Below are 22,099 nucleotides of genomic sequence, written 5' to 3' on the forward strand. Positions count from 1 at the left end.
ATTTTTATATCATCTGTATTATTAAATCCATCTGTTGTTTTCTTTTACAAGTTTGATAGCTTCACTTTTTACAGCTGAATCTTCAACCTGAAAAAAATTTTATGATTTCAGGTAAGAATTTAATCTAATTGTTTCCCCTAGATGATTCAGCCCACCTCCCAATATCAATGACTGACAAAGACATTCATTCTCAGGTGATATAAAATGTTATCTTTTAGACAGGCATGGTGGCGGGCGCCTGTAATCCCAGCTACTCGGGAGGTTGAGGCAGGAGAATTGCTTGAACCTGGGAAATGGAGGCTGCAGTAAGCCAAGATCTTGCCACTGCACTCAAGCCTGGGCGACAGAGCGAGACTTCACCTGAAAAAAAAAAAGTTATCTTTTTCTTATTCCCCATACCTGTGGCATACTTCCAAGCCAGCACCATATTCAGTCGTTCTGAAACGTGACTAACCAGAGCACCCACCATCATCCTTCTTTTTGAAAAGAGCAAAAAGAAATCAAGTAGACGCTGAGGTTTTTTTTTTAGGTAAACTTCAAATAGTTTTTTTCTGTTATCTCTTCCCCATCTCCCTGCCTCCCAAATAAAAAACGACAGGTAGAATTTTGAGTTAAGTGGTATCAATATTCATCTTATTTTTTTTTTTTTTAGGAGAAATGATGTCTTCATCCCTGTGTCTCCCAGGTATAAGTTTTGTATTTTTCTAAGTTCAAAACAAGCAAGGATCATGTTTGCCTTATTTATCCTTAAAATCATAGTGCCTGGCAGAGTTAAGTGCTTGATATAGACTGCTGAGTCAATGAATGAATGTAGGTCCTACGTATTTTTAAAGTTTACTCCTAGGCTCTTTTTAATAATTTTTGTTCCTATCAATCTCTTTTCATCACCATTACATTTTCTACCTGGCTACTATTGGCACATAGATAAGAAAATAGTTTCTATTCATTCATTCAATCACTTATTCTTTCAACAAACATTTGCAAATCAACTTCTATGTGTCAGGCATTCTTCTGAGTGCTAGGGATAGTGTGTCAATAGAGTCCATGTCCTTGTGGGGTGCAAGGTTAGAAGAACATACATAAAATAAATAAGAACAGATAAAGATTATTAGATTATAAGGATATAAGGAATGCTGCAAAAGACACTAAAAGGAAAAAGAGAAGGAAGGACAGCCCCTCCTCTAGATATGAAGGTCAGGGGAAAGGCTCTTGAAAGATGAGCAAGAACTGGCAAGTGAAGAGCTGGGGAATGTGTTCAGGAAGATGGAGAGGTACATGCAAAGACCCCAAAGCAGAAAAGAGCTTGGCATAGTCCAGGGACTGATGGCCAGGTGCCAGGATTTGATATAAATAACAATCAGGGGAGGGAGTGGCGAGAGAGGCAGATGGAGCAGGAAGGGGAGGGGTGCCATGGACCCTGGAGGTCATGGTAAAGAATCTGGGTTTTATTCAAGTGTAATTTCTTAATAGCTATGACAGTGGTCTCTCTGTTCTGTTCTTAACAGTATTAGAAATACTGAGTGTTTCCATATTAATCGTGATGTTGGTTGTTGGTTTCAAAAAGATAATTTCTTATTACACCAAGAAATGGGCCTCTTTTTTAGACTGATGATGACTTGTCTCAAATATAGTTATGATTGTTACTTTCCAGCCTGGTTTGTCTCTGTGGTTTCCCAGCTAACCGCCTCAATGGACATGCTTCAACGTGTCCTTAAAGCATTTTTTCCTGCCTGTCACACTTAGGCAGCCATACTTCAACAATTGCTTATGAGCTGTGCTACATTTTACATATTTCGGGTCTAAGGTAACTCTGCTATAGAAAATATGGCTTCAAAGATAGATACATTCAAAACCTTACTGTTGAGCTCCCAAGAGGATAGATTATGGGTCTTATATTGCCCACTATAAAATGGGGATAATAGCTCCTAATACATAGGGTTGTTGAAGAAAAAATACAGCTCAACTAAAGCATATAGATGACATTCAATAAACATTATCCATTATTGTCCACTCATATATTCATCCACTATACATGAGGTGATTTGAATTACTAAACTTTATGAATCAATAGTTAGGACAGTGGTTAAGAACCTGAGCTACAGAATCAAAATGACCTACCTAGATTCAAATCCTTCTGCCACTCCCTAGCTATGGAGCTTTAGGCAAGTTACTCAGTTCTCTGAGGCTCAGTTTATATGCCTTTAAAATGAGACTTCACAGGACTGAGATAATGCGGGAAAGGGCCTAGCACTGTCCTCGCCAAAAGGCTCTCAATAAATGGTAGTGGTGATACCAATAGTTATGATAATGATCAATGATGATGATGATGAAGATGGTAATGGAAATTTTTAAAATCTGATTTTAATGAAGGAGGTGGCAGGATCAAAGGAGTATAAATCTTGGAAAAATAGAAAAAACAATGAGAAATGGCACATCTGTCCCAGATGGAAACAGAGGAGGTAACTAAAAGCAGCTTGAACAAAAGCAGAGGGAAGAGAGCCAAAAAGAAAGCTCAGCAGACTTCTCTCTAAGAAAATTAGGAGACTCCTCAGAAAAGTGAACAACAGGCCAAGACCTCAAAGAGTGAGGGCAAAGGGAATCTGACCTCATTTCCATCAACAAAATGAGATGTTAACGGTGAAGCAGTCTTACACTTTAAGTGGCTGGTTATTTCACTGCTGGTCTAAGACAGGACTATGGTTAAGGGGAAAGGCTGCAGTCCCAGCATCGTGCTCTTTTGGAGAAGAAATCCTTCAAAGAGAGTGGTAGAAGTACAAAGCTAACAAGAACAAAGCAAGGAGGCTTCTAGCTGGAGGTGTCCTGCATCTGTTGAAGCACATTCGGACACAAAAGATCAGGAGTTTCTAAACGTGAACATGTTTGCGTTTCCTCAATAGGTCTACAGCTTTGGCTTCTCAAAGGGATGTGCAATCCAAAACAAAAACATAAAAAACAACAGCCTAAAGAAGCAGTGATGCAGATCATTAATACGTGACCAATTCTGAGACCTTTGAATTCCTTCTGGACCATGGGGATTTCCCCAATGAGAAACCCCTTTTTCAGATCTTTATTGGTAAAAATATTGGTATTTTATTTTGTCTGGATATTTGTAACACTGAATTCAGCCTAGCTTCAAAAATCACCCTCTGCTTGAAGTTCTTGTTTTAGATAACCTCGATTTGAAAAACACCAGATACATATTACCCCCTATATTATCTATACCTATGCAAACATATAACATTAGTAGATGACTTCCTACAGTTTCCAAACTCTCTTTAGAGAGCAGCTTACTGGGAAGAGCAGAGATTTTGTGATCAACATAGGCTTGGACTCAAGTCTCCCCTATCGCACTGGCACTACCTCATCAGGTCTTGGATAATGTGACAGTAAATGGACATAACAGAGGTATTGCAAAGATTAACGGAGAGAACACTTCCAAAGACATGTTCACTTTCCTTGCATATTTGCCTAGAACATTTTACATTTCTATTTACAAGTTGATTTGATACTTCTTTTTCTTCCATAACATAGATGTCATCGAAAGTGAGACACACATCTAATAATTCCCAAAGTTTTAGGACTTGAGGACATATAAAATAGAGTCATTAGAAAAGCAAATTGACTAAATAGTTAACTAAATAATACCTTTTTTTTTTTAACAAGAGGAAAGGCATACAAATTCATTTAACATGAGCGTGGGGAGAATCACAGTCTGATAGCCCCCCTAAATAGTTATTCTCATATGGCAATAGGGTTCAGAGAGGCTGACAATCTGATCCAGAATCACATAGTTCATGGCAGAGCTGGGAGAAGAAAGAACACCAGAGTTCTATCTGACCACACAATGTTTTTTCAACTACATTACACTGTTGCCTTCGCTGTTTAATCAATTCTATCAATTTAGCTGCCTTAAAACTTTTAACGCATGTTATTCCTAGCAGGAATCAACTGTTCTCAATCCTGGCTGGCTGGCTATCATTACTTAATGTAATATTTGTATATAATAGATAAGATTCCTTTACAAAAACATCGACTGTCACATCTTAATAGGCCATTGTGAGGCAACCATTATTTTATAATTTTTACATTATACTCAAATATACTCAAAAGGAGAAAACCAACTTGCCTAAAGCAGTTAGAGTCATAAAACATAAACAGAGTATTCTTTAAAAGGGGGGTTTAAGAGAACAGAGTAATTTCCTCATCAAGGGTGACTGCTTTGTGAATTTTAATTCTGATGAGAAGGAAAATCAACATGAGGATTACACTGTAGCAGGATTTCACCTCCAGTTCTATGGGGGTGCAAGTGTGAAAGACCACTCTCTCCTGAGAGAGGATGCATGCAGCCTGAGTGTCTTCACCACACACGAGAATACTAGGATACTCAGATAAACAAGCATTAAACAGGCGGCTTGCAAGTGGGAGCTCACAAGGCCTGGCCTGAGTTTGCAGAAACAAAAGGTTACCTGGGGAACTATGGGCAGATAAGGCCAGAGTGTAAATTAAGAAGTATATCCTTTTGGGGGAAAAGCAAATTACAGAATAAATGACTGAAAAAGTGAAATGCTGACCTAAAGGAAGATGCTGAGGCAAAATTAATATAGAAAGTGTATTTGGGCCAAGGTTGAAGCCAGCTGCCCAGGACACACTTCAACTTGCCTTGGGCCTTTTTTACAAGCAGTTTTTAAAGGAAAGAGGGTACAAAGAGTGGGCTGATACAAAGCTGTGTGACAGGAATTCTCACTGGTTTACAGAGATAACATTGATTAGTGATTGGATACACACTGTTGAACCACAGGGGTGAGTTATAGTGTCTAGTGTATGGCATTTTTTGGCTACTTGGCATCAGTCTAGAGCACACTTAACAGGTGGCTTTAAGAGGTAATTATCTAGTTCAAGGAGGGAGTGAAACTGTTGTTTCCGTCCAATGCCTCTCTGGGCCTGATAATTTAAAGGGGCTTGCATTCCTCACATAAAAAGGCTTTCTTTCTCAAAAGCTTAAGGAGATGCTATCAAACTACTTAATACTGATTAAGAAATAATAATAAAACCATGTTGCATCTAGTTGTATTTATTTTTTATTTATTTACTTATTTTGAGACGGAGTTTCGCTCTTATTGCCCAGGCTGGAGTGCAATGGCGCAATCTCAGCTCACCACAACCTCCGCCTCCCGGGTTCAAGCAATTCTTCTGCTTCAGCCTCTCAAGTAGCTGAGATTATAGGCATGCACCACCATGCCCGGCCAATTTTGTATTTTTAGTAGAGACGGGGTTTCTCTATGTTGGTCAGGCTGGTTGCGAACTCCCAGCCTCAGGTGATCCGCCCACCTTGGCCTCCCAAAGTGCTGGGATTACAGGCGTGAGCCATCATGCCTGGCCTGTATTTTCTTTTGGTCGTACTACATATATATATGTGTGTGTGTGTGTATATTATATATATATATGTGTGTGTGTGTACATATATGTGTGTGTATATATGTGTATATATCTATATATGTGTATATATATGTGCATGTGTGTGTGTGTATATATATATATATATAGCTACATATGGAAAGTTTGTGAAGTTGACTAAACAGTTTTTTAATAAGAGAAAAGGCATACAAATTTATTTAACATGAGCATGGGGAGAATCACAGAGTGACTGCCCCTAAATAGTTATCTTATGCAGAAAACTTAATTAGCTTGGCGGTGGACTAAGTTTATGAAGACCCCAGTCACACACACTTGGAGTACTGTATTTGGTGGATCCTCAAAGGCACCATGGAACATATCATATTTTCCTAAATCTAAGATACATTGTTTAACTTTTTCATATTTTTCAGGGCACAATGTAACTTTATAATAGACATGAACATGAAAAGCTGTTACTAAATATCAGTGGTATCTAAAAAATTTTAAACTATAATGAGGCTGAGAGAGGTGGAGGTAGGTAAGTACGGGGGGACAGGAGAAGGAACTTTCTGGGGTGATGGTATTATTGTCTACATCTGGATAACGGTTTGGGTTATACAAGGACTTAGGAAATGAATAATTAAGGTTTGTGCATTTAATTCTAAGTAAATTTTGTTTCAAAAGAAAAAGATGAAAATACTGGGCTTCAGTTAACACTATATGCTTAAGTACTTAGGGGACAGTGTACTGATGTCTATCTACAATTGAACTTGAAATGCATCAAATGAAGGGATTAATAGCCCACTAAAGTGGTATGAAAATCACTTTAAACTGAAAACATCTCAGCAGCCACATAAGGAAACATCATCTAAACTTTAGCAGGACCCCCCAGTATATGCAGCTGCCACTGACCCCTCCCAGGGAGGTTCCCAGATTGAGAAAAGCATGCCCTTTAGCACCGAACAGAGTGAACCCAGCTGTTCATCAGCATCAAATAGACCAAGAGAACCCTCCATACTTTCCCACTGAAGCCTTAAACTTCACAGGACCCTTTTGTCAGGGAGAGGATATATGCCTTTTATTTCTATAATTCCATGAGACACTCATCACTGAGTACACTTGTGTAAATAAGTCTTATCTTTTCTCTGTTAATCTGTCTATTGTCAGTTAACTTGCAGGTCCCCTGAACCCAAGTTGCAAGAGGAAAAGTTTTCCTCCCAACATAAACAGTATAAGAAGGACTGATGGATGACAGACAGGATAAAGCAAGTACAGTGAAATATTAACAGTAGAATCTAGGTGGTAGACACATGGCTGTTCACTGCAAAATTCTTTCAACTGTGCTTTATGTCTGAAAATATTCATAATAAAATGGAAAAAGCAATTTAAAAAAGAATGGAAGAAAACAAACATGGTACTTGATGACTGCCCCTTTGTACCCAAGAAGAGATAAACCCAGGTGCTAGAAGACTTACCTCATAAATCCAAGTCTATTAATTGGTGACAAAGTACAAACTAAAATGGTGTCGATCATCTAATCATAAGTGCTAGCGTCTGTACTGGCCACTTTGGGTAACAAAATAAGTACTCACGAACTTTTGTTCTGTCAAACAGCAAGTCATTCCCTCCCTAAGTGCTTCCTGCTTTCAGACGTTCCCAAAAGTCTTCATCAAACCACTTCATCTAAGAGAAGGTACAAGTCTCCACCTGGTTTTGTTTGTATTCCAACACATCCACGGTGGATCAGCTAAAGTAATGGCTCCAATTGTTTCATGCCTCACTTTATGATGTTTCCCACCTGACTCATGCCATGCCTTGCCATGTCTTGCTTGGGAATGGGACAGCAGAATGTGACACAAGCAGAAACTTGAACAATGCTTACACACTGGAGCTTGCCCTCTTGCTGCTGTTGAACGCTGCTACCACGTTAAAAGCCAGGGATAGACTGCCAGAGAAAGAGACACCAAGTGGAGAAGAAACCAAGGCACCCCCACCAACAGTCAGCCAGCCATCCCACAGTTGTCCGTAGACGCAGCAGTGAGCCTCCAATAAGAAAGCTGAGCCTGGCCCAGATCTGCAGAACTGCCCAGCTGAGCCCAATCCAACTGCTGGGAAACCTGTAGAACCGTGCTGATTTGAGCCACTAAGTTTCAGCGTGATTTGCTGTTCAGGAAAAGCTAATTTATATAACTCCTCAAGGCTAAACAATGCTAGCAAAAAATTCATATAACAAAGCCGACTGACTAACTCTCATCTCCTCAAACCTCCTATCCTGCCACTCCTCCCCTTTCTTATTAAATACCAAGTCTTCTACTTCATAGAAAAGAGAAACCATTAGATTAGAATTTTCTCAATTCACAGCTCCCCACCCCTACTTACCCGCATTGGTACTCATCTGCCTCCTTGGCCCGTCACTGGAGAAGAGTCGCGCCCCCCACTAGGACCTCACTGTGCCCAGACACCCAACCCCTGTGCTCTGCACCTCATCACCCTCCTTGCTCTCTCAATTCTCCTTCCTGCCCAAATCCAAGCCACTCCCAAAATGTTATCTTCCTCTCATCAGCACTGAATCTCACCCACACTAAAAACACCAAAAACAAAAATCCTATTGATCTCTTACCACCACTCAACTACTCTCCACCTTCCCAAACTACCTGAAAGTAGCAGGTTCATACTTGAGTTTTCTAGAAATTGTATTTTATTTTTGACATTTTCACCTCCCCTTCATGCCTCAACTGCCACCTGGCTTCTCTACCTCTTCGCTATCCCCAGTCCACTCCAGCACCCTCCACTCTCTATTGCTGGGTCCAGTGGGCACGCTGCTGCTCATCTCATCCACTCAATCTGAAGTGCTGACCCCTCCCTCTGTCCCGAAATGCCTCTCTCCCCTTGACTGCTGTGCCACCACACCTTCTTGCCTCCTCATGCCCCTATGATGGGTCATTTTAGCCTTCTTTGTGGTTCTTCCTCCTCTGCCTGACCCTTGAGTGTAGGCTTTCCTCAGGATTCCACACTCTGCTTTCTCTCAACACATTCTTCTAAGGTAATCTCATTCATCGGCATGGCTTCCATCACCTTCCATGCCACTGACTCTTCAGATCTGCATTTCTAGCACAGATCTCACTCTCCTGAGCTCCAAACCCACATATCCAAGAGCCCAATGACAGCTCCACTTACATGAGCCATAGGGACCTCAAATGCAATGTGTCCTAAACCAAACTCATTATCATCCACTCCAAACCTGTTCTTCCTCCCATGTTCCCATGTCAGGAGATTTCAGCAACAAAACCTTCTCTTAGCTCCTTTTTCTTATGCATGTAAATCACCAAGTCTTGGTAAATCTGCCTCCTAAACTGAACACCGCTTAAACGCAACCACTGCTCTCTAGGTTCATAACTACTTCTATACCTGAAGTCCTCACCATCTCTTGCCTAGATAACTGAATAGCCTCCTAACTGGTCCTCTTGTTTCAACTCTTCCTCCACTCCATTTTCCACACTGCTGCCAAAGTAATCTTTCTAATGTGCAAATCTAATTGTGTCCTGTTGTGGATATTGTTTTATTCTGCTGTGAATGTTTAACACTGAGCACACAGTACAGTAGGCACTTGATAATCAGTAAATGCTTATTGAGTAAAAAGAATAAATTACTGAAACGTCCAGTAGGCCTACACTTTGACCTATGAACTAAAGATGTAAGTTTCACAGATTAACATTATAAAATGTGTGAAAAGCCCAGACTGACAACCAACCATTAACACCAAATTTAAGCAACTTACATAATCTTAGTCTTAAAATAACTGCGAGGTTTACATCAAACTCTTAAAAATTACTGCTCTACTTCTCCCCTCCCCCCAGACAAAAATAGTTGCTCCACTTTCCAAGAAAATCAAAAACAAATCTGAACATTCAACATTTACTTACGTGCAAAGAATTGACTGGTCCTCACGATCTATAAAACAGAACAAAACAAACAAAAAAAAGAAAGTGACCATTTGCCTGGTTTTAAAATATTTGATATAATAAAGTTGCAGTAATAGCCTATAAAATATTAGTAACTACTCCTCTCGAGCCAAGTTAATGCCTCCAACCCCATTATACAGTCCTAAATCTAATCAAACCCCCTCATATCTCCTATTATTATGCCAGAGTCTCTGGGGGTAAATAACAGTAACTCAGGCTTATTCCACACATCGTTTGCCTGGATGACTTTATATGCCTAATTAACCTTGATTCTCAAACCCTGCCGCATACAAATTCAACCGGGAAGTTTTATAAAAATGTATTTCCTGGCACTCCACCTCACTAAATCATTCAACTCTGGGAGATGGGGATTAAAAACCCTTCTTTAAATAAGCGCCCCAGGTGATTATGACACCTGGCCAGATTTGGAAACCACGGCCTTTCAGAATGGCTTCAAGAATACCCACAACCAGAGAGGAATCATTGCTAATGTCATCTTAAAGGAGGAAAAAAAGTATTAAACACTGAGTGGAAAGAAAGTTGAAGGAGGATAAACATCTATAAATATAGTCTCAAGTCAACATGTTTTATACACCAAATACAACAAAAGAATCTAACATGATTTTAAAGTGATTAATAATTTAAGGATCCAACTAAAATTTTCAAATAAAAAGGTGAAAATCAAACCACTATCTAGCCCATGGACAAAATTACCAGTAGAGGATGCAGAATTTCTAATCACTTATGAGTATTACTATCCCTATTTCACAGATGAGAAAATGTTCCTCAGGGAGGCTAGGTAATCCTCCCAAGTGACACGGCTACGAAGGGGCAAGGTTGCCAGGATGAGGACCCAGGCCTGTCTGCCTCTAGCACCTGTGTGTGTTCTCAACAATACGAAACAAGTTTGTCATTGCCTAGAAAGGAACTGAGCTCACAAGTCCTGGCCCAAGTAGCTTTTTTGCTGCTTGCTATGCTGTGCTTTCTTTTCCTCTGGTGGATGCCTCCGGTGCCTAAGGAGGATTTCACAGCAGTTAGGCATAAATAACTTCCATGAAAGAGAAATAAGTGCTCCGTTCACTATGTCGTATTCTTTTTTACATAATATTATTAAACAAATCCATTCATATACTCTATGTATAAACTGAGATTTACAAAGAACACAGTACTGTCCTGCTCAAGTCTAATTTCTTTTTTCTTTTTCTTTTTTTCAGACAGAGTCTCGCTCTGTTGCCCAGGCTGGAGTGCAGTGGTGTGATCTCAGCTCACTGCAACCTCCGTCTCCTCGGCTCAAGTAATCCTCCCACCTCAGCCTACTGAGTAGCTGGGACCACAGGCAGGTGCCACCATGCCCGGCTAATTTTTGTATCTTTGTAGAGACAGGGTTTTGCCATGTTGCCCAGGCTGGTCTTGAACTCCTAGGCTTAAGGGATCCACCTGCCTCGGCCTCCCACAGTGTTGGGATTACAGGTGTGAGCCATGGCACCCGGCCCTAATTTCATTCTAATAGCTCATAACCTGGTGTTATTCTTCCTTCTGGCTGCCACAGCCAACATTTATAGTACATAGTCAATGTCTGCCTCCTTTATTCATTTACTTACACAGAGATCACACTATATCCTTTCTTCCAACATACTCTTCCTAGACACAGAACCACTGGGATATCTCCTGCATGTCCCTTTGGCCTCGATCCAGCTTCACCTCCTCTAGGAATACCTTCCCAAACACTCTCCCTCAGGTTTCTCAATGTCGCCTTTTTTTTTTTTTTTTTGAGATGGAGTCTTGCTCTATTGCCCAGGCTGGAGTGCAGTGGCGCAATCTCGGCTCACTGCAAGCTCCACCTCCCGGGTTCACGCCATTCTCCTGCCTCAGTCTCCTGAGTAGCTGGGACTACAGGCGCCCGCCACCACGCCCGGCTAATTTTTTGTGTTTTTAGTAGAGACGGGGTTTCACCGTGTTAGCCAGGATGGTCTCGATCTCCCGACCTTGTGATTCACCCACCTCGGCCTCCCAAAGTGCTGGGATCACAGGCATGAGCCACCGTACCTGGCCAATGTTGCCTTCTTTTAAGTGTATTTTAGAATCAGACAAACAATACTGCGGTTGACTGCCCACTAGAATGCATTGCTTGAGATCCGAGACTGTCTTACTTCTTTATTCTCAGGATTAACAGCCTTGGTGAGCCACAGCTAGCTTTAATAGAGGTCTGCTGAGAGAAACCCAGTGCTAGGTGCCATGTGGGCACTGGCAAGATAATGGGGCCTGGAATCTTTTCTAGTTCTAGCTCTGCCACAAACTGTGTATCTATAAATGAGGCATTTATTCCTTGCTGGCTGGTTCTTCACCTATAAACCATGATTTTACCACGTCTTTGCTTATTCACTCTCAATATGAATCTTCAGACCCCCGAATTTTCCTGGTCTTAGCAATTTCTATAGAACTCCACTATACCAAGTTGTTTATGGTTTTTCGAAAGTAGTTTACACATTAAAGAAATCAAAGCACACAAAAATTAACCCAAATCGAATTGCCTCCTAATTCATTCAAAATGGCGTTCTTCCTGCGTCTGTACATGCTATTATCAATGTCTAAAATTTGAGACCTACACTACAGCCTGCTGCATACTTCATTCCCCCACGCTTCTTGCTATCCCACCCCCTGTCAAACAACAACAAAAAACCAACTCTCTTCTAGCCAGACTCATCTATTTTTGTTATTTGTCTGTCTGATCTTGTATTAACTTTGGGCCTCAGTACACAGGGGATAGGCTTGCCAACCTCCCAGATTCTCTCCAACTCTGTGATCAACTCCCCACCTCTGCTTCACTGAATCCTCTGTACCCTTCAAGGATCAACTGCAGGACTACGACAGTTTCCAATGATCTTTATACTCTAAAACCCTATACATGTAACCAAACAGAGCCTTACGGTGATATTAAAGGGGGAAAAACTCACTTTCAAAAATGCAACTAGCCTTCTAAACAGTAGGGACTCATTTGATAGCTCAGTATTTTCCAAAGCACCTTCTAAAAATCACATAAGGAGGTATGCAATAAATCCATGTTGAATCAAATCATTTTCTAAACATGAGAAAGTTTTTAAATCAATGATCTGGGCTCTTACCTAAATAAAAACTAGAAAAGAGCAAATTAAATCAAAAGTAAGGAGAAGAAAGGAAATGATAAAGAAATCAATGAAATGGAAAACAGAAAAAAGAAAAAAAAATCAATGAAACCAAATGTTCCTTCTTTGAGAAGATCAATGGTATTGACAAACCTCTAGCTGAAGTAATCAGGAAAAAGGAGAAAAGGACACAAACTGCCAATATCTGTAATTTTTAAAAAGTAGTATGATTAAGAACCCATGGATATTGAAAAGATAATAAGAAAATATTAAGAATGACTTTATGACAAAATATTCAACAACTAAGATGAAAGGGATAAATTATTTAAAAGACACAACCACTAAAACTCACTCAAGAAGAAATGGTAACCTGCATAGCCTTCTATCTATTAAAGAAAATGAAATTGTAATTAAAAATCTTCTCACAAAGAAATCATAGCTCTATTAGAAAATTCTCCAAAACAGGTAGGGAATAAATAACACCAATTCTATATAAACTCTTTAGAAAACTGAAGAGGAAGAAGCATTTCTCAATCCATTCTAAGAGACAAACCTTACCCTGATAATGAAATCAGAAAAAAAAAAAAAAAAAAAAAAAAAAGACATTGCAATAAAAGAAAACCACATATAAATATCACTCATAAACAAATGCTCAAAAATCCTTAACAAAATGTTGGTAAATCAAATCCAGCTATATATATATATATATATATATATATATATATATATAAAAGATGATGCACAGAAAGAACAAATGGTGTCTGTCCTGGGAGTGCAAGGCTAGTTCAACATCCCAAAGGTGAATAATCTAATTCATCACATCAACAGACTTAAAGAAGAAACACCCTCTGACCATCTGAATAGATGTAAAAAAGCGTTTGACAAAACTTAATATCCACTGATGATTTTTAAAAACTCAGCAAACTAGAAATACAAGGGAACTTCAACCTGATAAAGGTCAGTCACAAACAACCCTACAGTTAATATCCTCTTTAATAGTGAAAAACTGAATGCTATCCCTCTAAGGTCAGGGACAAGGGAAGGATATTTGTTCTCACCACTCCTATTCAACGCTACAAAGTAAGAAAACAAAATCCAAAGCATAGATTGAAAAGGAGGAAATAGCAATGTCTCTGTTTGCAGAGGACATAGACAGAAAATCCCAAACAATCTACAATACACAAAAACAAACAAACAAACAAACAAAAAAACCCTTTCAGACTAAGTTTAGCAAGGTTGCAAAAAAAGTCAATGTATATTTTAAATATCCTATTTCTATATATTAATAATGAACAATTTGAAATTGAAATTTTGAAAGTTCCATTAAAACTAAAAAAATTAAATGTTTAGTTATACCAAGGTATATGATATACTTGGTTATAAATCTGATGAAGTATACGCAACATCTCTGTATGCTGAAAACTACAAAACACTAATGAAAGAAGTCAAAGAAGACCTATAGAGAGACAAACTGTTGATGGATTGGAAGACTCAATATTGTTGTTAATTCGGCCTCAACTGATCTATAGATTCAGTGCAATCCAATCAAAATGTTAGCAGGATATTTTGGGCAAAAAGCGACAAACTGATTTCTAAAATTTATACCTATGGAAAGACAAAGGAACTAAAATAAAGAATTTTTTAAAAGAACAGTGGTAGAAGACTCACACTACCTGATTTCAAGGTTTACTGTAAAGCTACTGTAACTAAGCCAGTGTGATACTGGCAAAAGGAAAGACATATAGATCAAAGGAACAGAGAGTCCTGGAATAGACCTTTGTTGATTTTCCACAAAGGTACAAAGGCAATTCAATGGAGAAATAGTTGTTTCAACAAATAGTGCTAGAACAATTGAATATCCATAAGCAAAAAGATGACTCGCAACCCATACTTTGCACCATATACAAAAATTAAACCAAAATAGGTCACAGACTGGGAGGAAAAAAATTGCAAATCACTTATCCAATAAAAGACTTATATCTAGAAAGGACAAAGAACTCTCAAAATTGAAAAATCAGAAAACTATCAAATTTTTAAAAATGATAGTAAGATTTGGACATTTCACCAAAGATATACAGATGCAAAATAAGCACATCAAAAGATGCATTAGGAAAATGCAACTTAAAACTACAGTGAGATACTACTACTCATCTATTAGAAAGAATACAATTTAATAAAGATGGACAATACCAAGGGCTAACAAGGATGGCGAACACCTGGAATTCATCTATTGCTGGTAGAAATGCAAAATGGCACAGCCACTTTAGAAAATAGTTTGGTAATTTCTTATAAAGTTAAACACACATCTACCATATGACCCAGCGATCTTACTCCTAGGTATTGACTCAAATGAAATGAAAACTTATGCTCACACAAAAGCCTGTATACAAATGTTGACCCCCGTTATCTGTGGGGGATTGGTTCCACGACAACCCCAACCCACAGCAGATAAAAAAATCCATGGATACTCAAGTCCCTTATATAAAATGGCAGAGTATCTGCAAATACCCTACACACATCCTCCCCTATATTGAAACTTTAAGTCCTGTCTAGATTACTTATAATAGTATAATGAAAATGCTATGTAAATAGTTGCTATAGTGTATTGTTTAGGGAATAATGAAAAGAACAAAAGTCTGTCTGTACATCTTCAGTACAGGCGCAACCATCCATTATTTTCCCCAATCCACAGTTGGTTGAATCTGCAAATGTGGGACCCACGAATACAGAGGGCCAACTGTACAGTGTCTTAATTGCCAAAAACTGAAAACAATCTAAATGTTCTTTACATGGTGAGTGAATAAACCATGGAATATGCATATAATGGACTATTACTCAGCACTAAAAAAGAATGAACTACTGGTGAATGAATCTCAAATGCATTATGCTAAAAAAAGAAGCCACACTCAAAAGGTTAAAGTGTGGATGACTATAGGACATTCTCGAAACGGCAGCACTAGTGTTTATTCCTAGCGTTTATTTATTTTTGGCTACAGTAAAGGATAATGGGTGATTCATAAGAAACCTAATGATTTTTGGACATTTTAAAACTAATCGCCTTATGAAATCGCCATTTCACTCTCCTTAATCCCTTCAATCTGTGTGCCCTCACCCTCTTTTCGTTTTCCTCATACTACTCAATATTGTCTTTATTTGTATGCTGTCTCCCCAGTAAGAACAGTTCTTTTTTTTTTTTTTTTTTTTTTTTGAGACAGAGTTTTGCTCTTGTCACCCAGGCTGCAGTGCAATGGCGTGATCTCCGCTCACTGCAACCTCCGCCTCCCGGGTTCAAGCGATTCTCCTGCCTCAGCCTCCCAAGTAGCTGGGATTACAGGAATTCGCCACCACACCCGGCTAATTTTGTATTTTTAGTAGAGACAGTTTTCTCCATATTGGTCAGGCTGGTCTTGAACTCCCAACCTCAGGTGATCCGCCTGCCTTGGCCTCCCAAAGTGCTGGGATTACAGGCATGAGTCACCAAGCCCGGCCCAAGAACAGTTGTTTAACGGTGTCAGTGCAAGGGTTTTACCATATCTTACAGCTTCACAGGGTGGTGAGGAGGGATAGTTCCTACTGTCTATATCTCTACATCAGAAGATTCAATACAAAGATCCAAGACAACTATAAATCACTATTAAATGTTCCTTTTCCTGACATAAAATAATGCTCTTTGTCCTTGTTTTGGCTTTGAGGTCTACTTTAGGCTGAAGTGACTTTAGACTATGCTTTCTTTTTGTATGTATTTGGCTGAGGTATCTGCCCAGTCTTGTACTTTTATTATTTTGCTACTTTGAGATGTCTTTCTTGTAAATGGCATATGAGTGTATTAGGCTCTCTTTTATTTACAGGGGTGTTAAAAGTACTTATGTTTATTGTTATAAGTGCTATATTTGGTGTTACATATTTTCTGACTTTTTTTTTTTTTTTTTGAGACAGAGTCTCACTCTGTTACCCAAGCTGGAGTGCAGTGGCGCGATCTTGGCTCACTGAAATCTCCGCCTCCCAGGTTCAAGTGATTCTCGTGCCTCAGCCTCCTGAGCAGCTGGGATTACAGGCATGAGTTACCACGCCCAGCTAATTCTTTTCTATTTTGAGTAGAGATGGGGTTTTCACCATGTTGGCCAGGCTGGTCTCGACTCCTGACCTCAGGTGATCCACCTGCCTCAGCCTCCCAAGCTGGGATTATGGGCGTAAGCCACTGTGCCTGGCCCATTTTCTGACTTTTTAAAGCCTTCCTTGATGTTTCTTTTATAGAATGGCTTGTTTTCCTTGCTTTTATTTCTCCTAATGTAGGAAACTTGTATCCAGTTTCGAAGTCCTTCAACTTGCTTTCTCAAGGTTCACATTTTGATGTGTAGCAACCTTATTCTTAAAATGCTTATTCTTAAAAGGGAGGGGGAGTAGGAGGGAGGGGGAGTAGGAGGGAGGGGGAGTAGGAGGGAGGGGGAGTAGGTCTACCTGTTACCCTCACAAGATCACTCAGTAGTCCTAACATCTTTTCAAGGTGGCTGCTTGCCATTTCACTGTATGGATGAGCCATCCTCTAATTAATTACTTATTGATATAATAATTGGTTGTTTCCAGTGTTTCTCAGGAAGCTACCAGAGGTTATCCTCTATCCAAAAATTTTAACAGCATATGAGATCCATAAATTAATACAACCAAGGAAAGAAGCAAAAGGAATTTCTAGATTACGTAAGGGCAAAGGCAAGTCTAAAGAAACAAGCACGAACTGGAGGAGGATAACAGGCTTTGGGAGGTGCGTCGTCAAGGGGGAAAGACCCTGAGAAATTACTTGATGCACTTGTGTCTACTGAAAGAGGATGTGTAGTTCAAATTGATGTAGGTGATTGCAAAACTACCCTAGTCCCCAAAATGGGAAAAATACTAACCACAAAGAAAACAAATTATATAAGAAAGGAAATGTAATCATAGGATAATAATTAAAATGTTGAATGTTAAAATGTAAAATGTTGATTGAACTTCTATCAGGAAGATATGGGGAGGGTTTAGATGAGTATAAAAACTCTTCTTCCATAATAGGCAGTCTAAAGATAGAAAGACAAGAAAGAAAGAAAAGAAAGGAGAAGAAAAGAAAGAAAGAGAAGAAAGAAAGAAAAAGAATATCATAGGCTTCTTACTTATTAATAATTATTTATATACTTATATACTTATTTATATATGTACATATGTAAGAAGAAATTCCTAAAGAGGGAATCCAGAATAGTTAGGGTATCTCCAGTTTTATGTCTTATTCTACTGTGTATTTCTGTTTTTTAAAACTATCTTTATATGTTGCCTTAATTAAAAAGTAAAACATAATTTAAGCATTCAAATTTCTTTGACAAATTCTGATCTTGATGCTATATAGTTTACTCATTTTTTTTTTTTTGAGATGGAGTCTCACTGTCGCCTGTGCTAGAATGCAATGGTGCAATCTCAGCTCACTGCAACCTCTGCCTCCCAGGTTCAAGGGATTCTCCTTGTCTCAGTCTCCCAAGTAGCTGGGATTACAGGTGCCCGCCACCAGGCCCGGCTAATTTTTTTTTTGTATTTTTAGTAGAGACGGGGTTTCACTATGTGGGCCAGGCTGGTCTCGAACTCCTGACCTCATGATCCACCCGCCCCAGCCTCCCAAAGTGCTGAGATTACAGGCGTGACCCACTGTGTCCGGCCTACTCTGCATTGTTTAATGGTCTAACCCATTTAGATTACATAGGAAGTACCTAGTCCTTAAGATTTGGTTTGTTTGTTTTTGAGACGGAGTCTCCCTCTGTCACCCAGGCTGGAGTGCAGTGGGCGTGATCTCAGCTCACTGCAAGCTCTGCCTCCCGGGTTCAGGCCATTCTCCTGCCTCAGCCTCCAGAGTAGCTGGGACTACAGTCGCATGCCACCCTAGTCCTTAAGATTTGACAGACCTGACCACTAAAATTGTTTGGGCCTTGTGTCTTGAAGACATAAAGATAGATCTTCAACAATCTCTTCTACTTCTCCCATGGACAATGTTCTGGTTAAGTTTTCCACCTTATTTTGAGTCAATTTTGTCTTTGCTTATGGTGTTCTATATACTCTTTGTCATTTCTGGTAGTTCTGTCTTCTTGATCACACTTGCCAAACATTTGTCTAGTCTGTCTTTTCGTGGGACCAGCTCTTAGTTGTACTTACCAGTTCTAGGAGAAAATGTTCTTTGTTCCAATCCACTTATCTCTTCCTACATTTTCCCTCTTGTTTTGGTTCATTTCATTGTACTTTTAAGTACCTTTTTTATTATGAAATGACACACAGAAAAAAAGCAATGTACAGCTCAATAAATTAGCAAAAAATTGTCTATTATCTATTTTGCTGAATACAAACTTTAATTTGTCTATAAATCTTTCTTTCCTAATGAAAACGTTTAGAGCCATGAACTATTTCTTAAAAGTGGCTTTTGCCATAACTCACAAAATTTTTATATGTAGCATTTTGTACCTTTTTTTTTTTTTTGAGACGGGGTCTTGCTCTGTTGCCCAGGCTGGAGTGCAGTGGCATGATCTCAGTTCACTGCAACCTCCACCTCCCAGGCTCAAGCAATCTTCCCACCTCAGCCTCCTGAGTAGCTAGGACTATAGAAGCATGCCACCACATCTGGCTAATTTTTTTATTTTTCGTAGAGCTGGGGGTTCACCATGTTGCCCAGGCTGGTCTTGAACTCCTGAGCTCAAGTGATCTGCCCACCTTGGCCTCCCAAAGTCCTGAGATTACAGGCGTGAGCCATGGTGCCCAGCCTGTTGTAGTGATTTCTAAAGAATCTGTAAGTTTTGATTTCCTCTTTTACCAAAAGCCACATAGATGAGTGATTAATAACAAAACATTCATACTCATTAAACACACTCCCACAAACACTAACCCATTTGGAAATCTTTTTATTGCTAATATCTTGTCTTATTGCACTGTGGTCAGAGAATGTAGCCTGTGATTTCTTCTTTCAGGAACTGAGATTTTTATTGGTGGCCTGCTATATGGAATAGACACCACATTTGTAAATGTGCTTTCTGCTTGCATACATACATTTTTCAATATAAGCTTGCTAAGTTGTATTAAATCACATTCTTTAATATTCTTTTTTTCCCTACTTAATATGTCAAATTCTGAGAGAAGCATATTAAAACTCCCTCTATAACTGTGGTTCACATTCTCCTTACATTTCCAATAGCAACTGTTTTAAATATTTGATGCAATGTCAGTGATGTACATGTAAGTATTATCTGTCTCTCCTAGATGACTACATCACACTATTTCTATCTTAAACCACCAATCTCTCCTCCCTCCTCCTCACTCTCAGCTGAAACCCTGCTTCATTTTCACAAGCTCCTGCCAGCAACCATATCTGCCTACCCATCTGCAACACTGTTTTGAAAAATCTGGCTGTAAAAGGAAGGTGGAAGGAACTAACTTTCTTATTTAAAGTAACGGGTAAAACTTTAGCTAATAGGGAAAATTTATTGCTAATGTTAGGAGCCTATAAAAAGAGAAGCAGAAGATACAGTCACAACCCAGAATAATCAACACCATGAGATTCTTAAGAAGGTTAAGAGGATGTGATCAGCATCAGAGGTGAAGGACTAGGTAAGACCAGCCTTTGACAGGAGTAGACACAAGAGATAATGATCTGTTCATCTAGCTGGGGCAGTTTCTCTGCAGTGCCTCTGTGGAATGGGAAACAAGCCATCAGCCAGGGAGTAGAGGGGCAAGGAGGGACCCAGAGATCTGGAGCCTGCAGAGGTTTGAAATAGTCATTATGGAGAGTGGGAGGACCAAGGTAGGATTAGCAAGAGTTGAGTGTAGAATCAGGGCTCACGGTCAGGAAATTACAGTGGTATTTATCTGTTCCATTATGTGAGCATAACTCCAGAAGCATCAGCAACCCAAGTAACAGCATTAAAAGAGACAAATATCTTGATTCATCCAGCGTGAGTTTTACCAAACAAGAATAACCAATGAACAACGGGACAAGGGAGGGGTTTAGGAAATGGGTAGAAGATGGCCATGAAATCTAAATTATACAAGGCAGAAAGTGAAGGGTGTTGTTAACATATAGGGGGAAAGTAAAACAAGTAATGGGCTGGGGATCCACATGAAGTCAAAGAACACATTTAGGAGATTGGACTCTCTTCTCCTAAGAAGTCCAATCTTCTTGATTGGACTACCAATATGGAAGGATGCTGCATTAGAACTACTGAAACATTATCTGAAAAGTCAGTTAATTCTAAAAGATGGCAAAGTCTAGAGCATCACCATAGATGTTGGTGGCATAAGTGAGAGACGGAGGAATTCATATGAAGGACCTTACGATCAAGGGACTTGACTGTTCATTAAAAACTATGAAGTAACACAGGGCAATGGCAAGGCTTGAGGCAGAGAGGAAACAACGTGCTGGGGCCCATCATGGAGTGAGAGAGGAACCAAGAAGAAAGCTGCTGAAAGTAATGAGTGGTGATGGAGGTGCGGCTTTTCCAAGGCAGTAAAGGAGTAATGGTTTAGCAGACACATAGACACAGTGTTAGTAAGGACACTAACCCTATCTCCCAGTGCATAGGATTTGAGTGATGGAGCACTCTTCACTAAATGGACTCATACCCCGTATGTGGGGGAAAGCCAAGTCTCGGTTAAAGCTTGAAGGAAAAGAAAATATTCACTGAAGATACTAAACATACAGAAAGTTTGCACATCAGAGAGTGGGAGTTACCTAAGGCAAAAATGAAAAGGGAGTATTATGGAAATGAAAACATGACTGGAAACACAGTGAATTTCATTCCAGGATTCCATGAAGATGGTGGACTCTCATGTCTTAAATTTTCATTGTGGCCTAAAAAAGTGGCCCCTGCAGGTATTGTTACAGCAAGCAAAACTTTCCTTTCCATCTACCCAGGTCAACCGGGGTTGGTAGCAGTGTTGGTTGCCTGCTGCTGAATGGAAGCTACCTGGGGTGGAACTGGGCTGGTGAGGCATCAGGAACAAAGGAAGACAAGCCACAAGGTGGTGAGCCTCACTGTGGGTACTCCTAGGTGACCTCAGATGATTATGTGCAAGGTAGAGGCCTCGGTGTTCCTAAATTCAGTTCCTAACACACAGTGTTGCAAATGAGAAGCCCGATGCTACTGACTCCCTTTCCATGTCATGTTGCCCTATCCACCAAGGTATGCAAGATGAAGCGTATCTCCTTTCACTATTTCCACCCAGCACTTTTATCTGAACACCTGAGTGTGTCTTTAGTTCAGGTGACCTTTTTCAAAAATATCACTTTTTTCATGGAACCCAAGAATCTACAAATACATTCCATGTTTCCTACTCCTTCTCTCATAAGCACCATCTGATTCTTTTTGGTCTCCATTCTAGTCTTCAAATCTACTGCTCTAGTTTCCAATTCTGTCTAATCTACCATTCCATGCTTTTAATGAATGTATGATTTTTTGCAGTCAAGTTTACGTCTAAGAACTCTGCTTTCATTCATTCATTCAACAAATATTTATTAAGCAACTACTATGTGCCAGGCACACAACTGCATTTTGATACAGTATCCCCTAAAATCCAATTTAAAAAAAATTAAGCTAGCTTCCTGCTTTTTCACATAAAAAGCAAAAA

At 39.5% G+C, this 22,099-nt stretch overlaps 1 protein-coding gene across 4 annotated transcripts in view, besides 1 other annotated feature; it reads right to left on the reverse strand.

The window, feature by feature from the left end:
• The window catches only part of MYH10 (myosin heavy chain 10), a 156,514-nt gene that overhangs the window by 105,552 nt on the left and 28,863 nt on the right, over positions 1-22,099 (reverse strand). For all 4 annotated transcript variants that reach the window (NM_001375266.1, NM_005964.5, NM_001256095.2 and 1 more), the window contains exon 4: positions 9,318-9,345. In NM_001375266.1, coding sequence (NP_001362195.1) covers positions 9,318-9,345 — 28 coding nt within the window. The remainder of the gene's footprint in view (positions 1-9,317; positions 9,346-22,099) is intronic.
• Positions 1,558-1,657: an enhancer, noted in NCBI's record as "active region_11699". NCBI's record gives its function as "activates an Ori minimal core promoter by ATAC-STARR-seq in GM12878 lymphoblastoid cells {active_cell/tissue: GM12878}" and the evidence as "EXISTENCE:reporter gene assay evidence [ECO:0000049][PMID:35858748]".

Source organism: Homo sapiens, chromosome 17 (genome assembly GCF_000001405.40).
Source record: "Homo sapiens chromosome 17, GRCh38.p14 Primary Assembly".
Taxonomy (NCBI): domain Eukaryota; kingdom Metazoa; phylum Chordata; class Mammalia; order Primates; family Hominidae; genus Homo; species Homo sapiens.